Raw genomic sequence first — 6,000 nt, forward strand, 5'->3', positions numbered from 1 at the left:
CTTAGCATAAACTCAGGTATGGTTGGAAGGGGCTTATGAATAACAAAAGATGCTCCTCTCACCCCTACCTACCACCCAGAAAATCCCAAAGGTTTTAGGAGGTCTGTGCCAGGAGCCAGGAACAAAAACCAAATATACATTTCTTATTCTATCACAATATCACAAATATGCTGATGTATATATTAGAAGCCACAAACACAAGTATAAAAGAAAGGCCTGAACAGATGGGTACGTATGTGTGGGGTTGTGTGAGTGTCCATCCTAGAAGTCGGCCTCACAGGCATCAACGCATGTGATGGGAAGAACTTAGCCTTGAGAGTCAGGAAGTCTGCATTCTAGTCTCGGAACTGCCAAGAATTTGCACCGTGAGCTTGGATACAACACACTAACCTCTCCTGACCTGTTTTCATATTCGTAGCTGAACAGGTTCAACTATGACCCCAAGATTTTTTCAATTCTAAAGTGTCAGAGATTCTGGGATAGCCTAGCATCACCATTCATATATATATATATATTTTTTTTTTTTTTTTTTTTTTTTTTTTTTGAGACAGAGTCTCACTCTGTCACCCAGGCTGGAATGCAGTGGTGCTATCTCAGCTCACGGCAACCTCTGCCTCCTGGGTTCATGCCATCCTTGTGCCTCAGCCTCCCAAGTAGCTGGAACTACAGGCACCCGCCACCACGCCTGGCTAATTTTTTTGTATTTTTAGTAGAGACGGGGTTTCACCATGTTAGCCAGGATGGTCTTGATCTCCTGACCTCGTGACCTGCCCACCTCGGCCTCCCAAAGTGCTGGGATTGCAGGCGTGAGCCACCGCGCCCAGCCACCATTCATATATATTTTCTCTGCATTAACATTAACCACAGTGCAAGTTTTTCCCCTTCATGCAAACTTATTTGAGTGAGGTGAAATGCGGGCTCAGGGAAGAGGGAAACAGAGAGAAGGCATCTTGTCTGAGAAAGGAGATGAAGACTCCGCTTCTAAAGGATGGTGAAGGGAATTGGGTAATAGTCACTCTCTCGCACCCTGGACACTGCCATTCCCACTTTGATTCCTCCTGTCCTCCATGTTTTCTCACTATCCAACCACATCAGCAATAATTACTCCTTGACGTCATCCAAACCAGCAGCCCCTCTTTTTCCACCCAGCCTACCACTCTTTCTCCTGCTTTCAGTTTCTTCTCTATCCAACGTATGGCTTCAACACTGAATGCTTTAATTTACCATCTTGTCATTGTCCTCACCCTCCTCACTCCAGTCAGCTCTCTTCACACCCCTGCTGACTCATACCCCACCATCACCCACCCATAAGTGCCGGCTACTGAGTGCAACCACATCATACCACAGACTGGCTTTATGACAGATTTGAGGTCATGATCAAGAAAACCAGAGCCAGGCAGAAGTTAAAGTGATGAAAACAAATTTTATTCAGGACTGTTGCAATAGGGAAAGCGGGACCTCAGTGTAGAACTGGGCTCCATTCTGAATGCATCAGTGATAAGTGCGGATGTATAGTCAGGGAGCAGGGCATTGGTGGATAGAAAATTGCTATGAGGAGACATCAAGGCTGGGGGAATTCTGGCTGAACCAATCTAACAGGATTCCTGCTGAAGGCAGGCCGAGGTGATTAGAGACCAACAATGGTGAGGGAAGAGTTTTGATTAGATATCAAGGATGATTAAGTATTGAGGGTGGGGGATTCTTACTAAACTGCTTTGGCAGTGTTACTTACTAAAACTGGACTTTACAAAGAAGTGCACACGTGGGCCTAGGAGAACGTTCGAAAGCCTAACTAAAGTTTGGCCAAGCAAAGAATCTTTGTCAGTCATCAGCATTTCTTATCCAGTCTTGATTCAATATGTCCCTGCTCAGCTCTTTCCCCATGCCTCATGACATTAGTTTTAACCTTTCACTGTTATCCTTCAGATCCCAGCCCTCACCTTTTCCCCCAGCAGGTGGCCTTAACTCTGACTCAACATACTTGCCCTGGTTTTTCATCTTACACCTACAAACTCATCTTTGCCCACACTCATTCTTACCTCCTTCTTTCTTGCTCAAAGGGTGAGAGGCCCCTCTTCCTGCCTAAGGTTTAAGGTTTATCCTCCAAGGTTATGATTTTTGTTTTTCTTTTGAGACAGGCTGGAGTGCAGTGGCACCATTTTGGCTCACTGCAACCTCTACCTCCCAGGTTCAAGTGGGCCTCCCTTCTCAGTCTCCCGAGTAGCTGAGACTACAAGCGTGTACCACTACACCTGGCTGATTTTTTTGTATTTTTTGTAGAAACAGAGTTTTGCCACATTGCCCAGCCTGGTCTTGAGCTCCTGAACTAAAGCAATCCACCCACCTCGGCCTCCCAAAGTGCTCAGATTACAGGTGTGAGCCACCATGCCTAGCCCAGGATTATGATCTTGATCTCACACGTATTTAAAACTTTTCTGTCCACTAGCTTCTTCCTTTCCGCCCAAATTAGCAAACCTGTTTAAGCCAGGACCCTTTTAGCCACAAGTGAAAGAAACCCAAATCAAGCTAGCTTGGGTAAAAAGTGTGTCTAGCAAGATCCTTAACGATAAGCAGCAGAACCCATTCTAACTATTTCAGCAAAAAAATTATTAAAGGACTATAGGTAGCTCATACAATTTCTGAAAGGATCAGAAAATCTGGCTTGGTGGCCATGTAGGCTGGACAATGCCCAAATCACACTGCCAACCTCTCCAGTGAAGAGGCCACCATGACTGGCACCACTGATGGGGCATCCCCACATTAAGTTCACAGAAATTTTGAAAACCAACAACAGAAATAAAGAAAAATTGTGAAGGGAATTGTGATGACCTGCTCAGAGCTCTCTGTCTCATGTTCCTTTCTCATAGGCCAGTGACCAGCTTTCTGCTTGTGGCAAGAATACAGCCATAGTTAGCTCAGTCTTTCATTCCACTAGCTCCACAAAAGCCACCTTTCCAAAGCTCAACTTCAAAAAATCAGATTGAAGCAGCAAGGTCACAGACCCCAGTGGCAGCCCCCACCCACATGATCTAGTGGAACATCTCCTGGAAAAATTTTTCATCAGCAATCTGGATCTGCTAAAAATCTGTTAACTTGAAGTATGAAGTAAAATGAAGCATTTCCTGCCTCTGTAAATCAGGGTTTCTCAACCATGGCACTATTGACATATTGACCTGGATAATTCTTTGTTGGGGAATGGGGGTAGGGTAAGGGTAGCTTTCCTGTCCATTGCAGGATGTTTAGCAGCATCTTCAGCCTCTACTCACTATTCACCATTAGTACCCTCCCTCTCCAGTTGTGACAAACAACAGTGTCTCCCAACATTGCCCAATGTACTCTGCTAAGCAAAATCACCTGCATCTGAGAACCATGTCACCCAGCCTGCAGTGGCCTGACCATAACAAACCACACTTCCAAACCCGCATCTCCAGCTCAGACCTCTCTCCTGAGCTCTAGGCTGATATATCTACCTGCTTGCTACTCATGTCTCAACCAAGATATCCCATAGCTAACTCAAACATGCCCAAATCTAACTCATCATTTTTCCTCCAAGACTAGCTTTTTCCCCGCAGTTCCTGTCCTGGTTAAAGATATCACTGTTGATCAGTCATCCGTACCAGAATCTTGGCAGTATTCTGGATCCTTCATCTTTCTTCACCTCTCCCTCTCCCATCACCACATCTAAAGAAGTAGATTCTAACAACACCTTTCTTAGCTTGTATTAGCCTCCTCCTACCCAATTGTAAGTTTCCTGCAAGTTTTCTGCTGGGCTCTTAATTTCTCCTCTCTCTCTAATTTACTTTCCAAATTGCTTTAAGATTTACTTTTTTCTAAATGCAAATATGAACATGTCATTCCATACTTCAAATTAACAGATTTTTAGCAGATCCAGATTGCTTGTGAAAAATAGTCGAGACTCTTTAGCAAGGTATACAATGACCTTCCTGAACTTTTCCATGTCCCTCTCTCCAAACTTACTTTACCTCTGCTTTCTTGCTGAGAAACTACATAAAAATCCCTGGTTTTGGCCGGTCACAGTGGCTCATGCCTGTAATCCCAGCACTTTGGGAGGCTGAGGTGAGTGGATTACGAGGTCAGGAGTTCGAGACCAGCCTGGCCAACATGGTGAAACCCCATCTCTATTAAAGATACAAAAAATTAGCTGGCCGTGGGGGCGCGTGCCTATAATCCCACCTACTTGACAGACTGGGTCAGGAGAATCACTTGAACCCAGGAGGCAGAGGTTGCAGTGAGCCGAGATCACGCCATTACACTCCAGCCTGGGCAACAGGGCAAGACTCTGTCTTAAAAAAAAAAAAAAATTCCTGGTGTTGCATTTGCTATCTCCCCTGCCTGCTCCAACACCCTCTCCCCAACTCCTACATTCTCTTAGTTCACCTGGTGAACTCCTACTCCTGCTTCAAAACCTACTGCAACCATCTTCTCTTAATTTTTTTCTTTCTCATAAGGCTCCTCCTTGACCAAGTGTCCCAATATCTTAACGGCAAGCTGAAAAACCAGGACCACAGCCACCTGCTAGTTTGCTCTTGAATTCCTGTCCTACAGAAATTGTGAGATTAAAAAAAAAAAAAAAAAAGTTTACTGTTTTAAACCACCAAATTTGAGATGATTTGTTACAGAACAATAGATGACTAATCCAAAGTTTGCTTACAGGGGTCAACATGACTGATATTCTAGACCCAAGTTTCAAGTTTAGGGTGCTCAGTGTTCCTAACTCAAGCTTCACTTGGGTTTTGAATAAAACCCATGACCTATTTTTATTTCTGTTTCATTTTGAAACACAGTAAAAATAATTACAGTAAGGAATGTTTTGAGTGAATTATCTAATCAATATTCGCAAAGTAATATGCAAAGGAAGAGTTCTGAAGAAAATATTTTTACTTATTATTTAAAGTCTCAGGATAGGGATTGAAAGAGCATTAAAACATAGTCTCCTTTGACCTTCAGATTTTTATCTTGAGTCTATAGGATGTAAACAGAGAATCTAACTCCAATTTTTTAGATAATCTGCTAGGAATGTATTTTTGATTTCAGGAAGAAAACTCTCCACTATGTAAAAATCTTCTAAACTTTTCTATACAGTTTACTCATTTTAAAAATTTGTTTGTAGAAACAACTGAAACGTTCATCGAAGAAGAATAAATACATTGTGGTTTATTTATATAATGGAATGATGTCCAGCAGCAAAAAAAGAACACAACAGCATGGAATAATCTCAAAAACGTGTTCAGCAAAAGAAGCAGGACAGAAGAAAAACCATTCTGTCTGATTCCATCTACACGAATTTCAAGAACAGGAAAACTAAGCTATGATAATAGAAATCAGAATTAGCTGTTTTGGGGGGATGGAAGGCTTTGGGGAGTTTTGAGGGTGAGGTTGACTAAAAGGGGGAGCAACAAAACTTCCTGAGATAATGGAAAGGTTCTATATCTTGATATGGATGATGGTTACATGAGTGTATGTATTTGTCAAATTTCATCAATTACAGTTTGTTATAATTTATGTTTATTAATTAAATTAAACATTAATTCATGCTTATTAATTAAATTAAACTTATTGATTAAATTATGTTTATTATTTATTGTTTATAAACAATAAATTTATGTACGTATAATATAAATAAATTTATGTATGTATAATATAAATAAATTTATGTATGTATAATATAAATAAATTTATGTATGTATAAGTAAAATATATTATTTCAATAAATATTTATTATAAATACTTATGTTTATTTTACCTCATGGAAATTTTACCTTAATCTAAAAAAGACAACATGAAAAAATAGTATGTAATACTAAAATCAAATCATGTTTCCCTATTGAAAGGCAAACACTCTTTGAGAAGACATAAACAGGGCATTCAGAACATCAAATAGAAAGAGCTTCCACCATCACACAAGTGAAACAAAATCAGTATTTCCAAATATTTTTCAGAAACTACCTTTGGGAAGAGTAAACCTCAGCTATTGGAGCC

This window comes from Homo sapiens, chromosome 4 (genome assembly GCF_000001405.40).
Source record: "Homo sapiens chromosome 4, GRCh38.p14 Primary Assembly".
Taxonomy (NCBI): domain Eukaryota; kingdom Metazoa; phylum Chordata; class Mammalia; order Primates; family Hominidae; genus Homo; species Homo sapiens.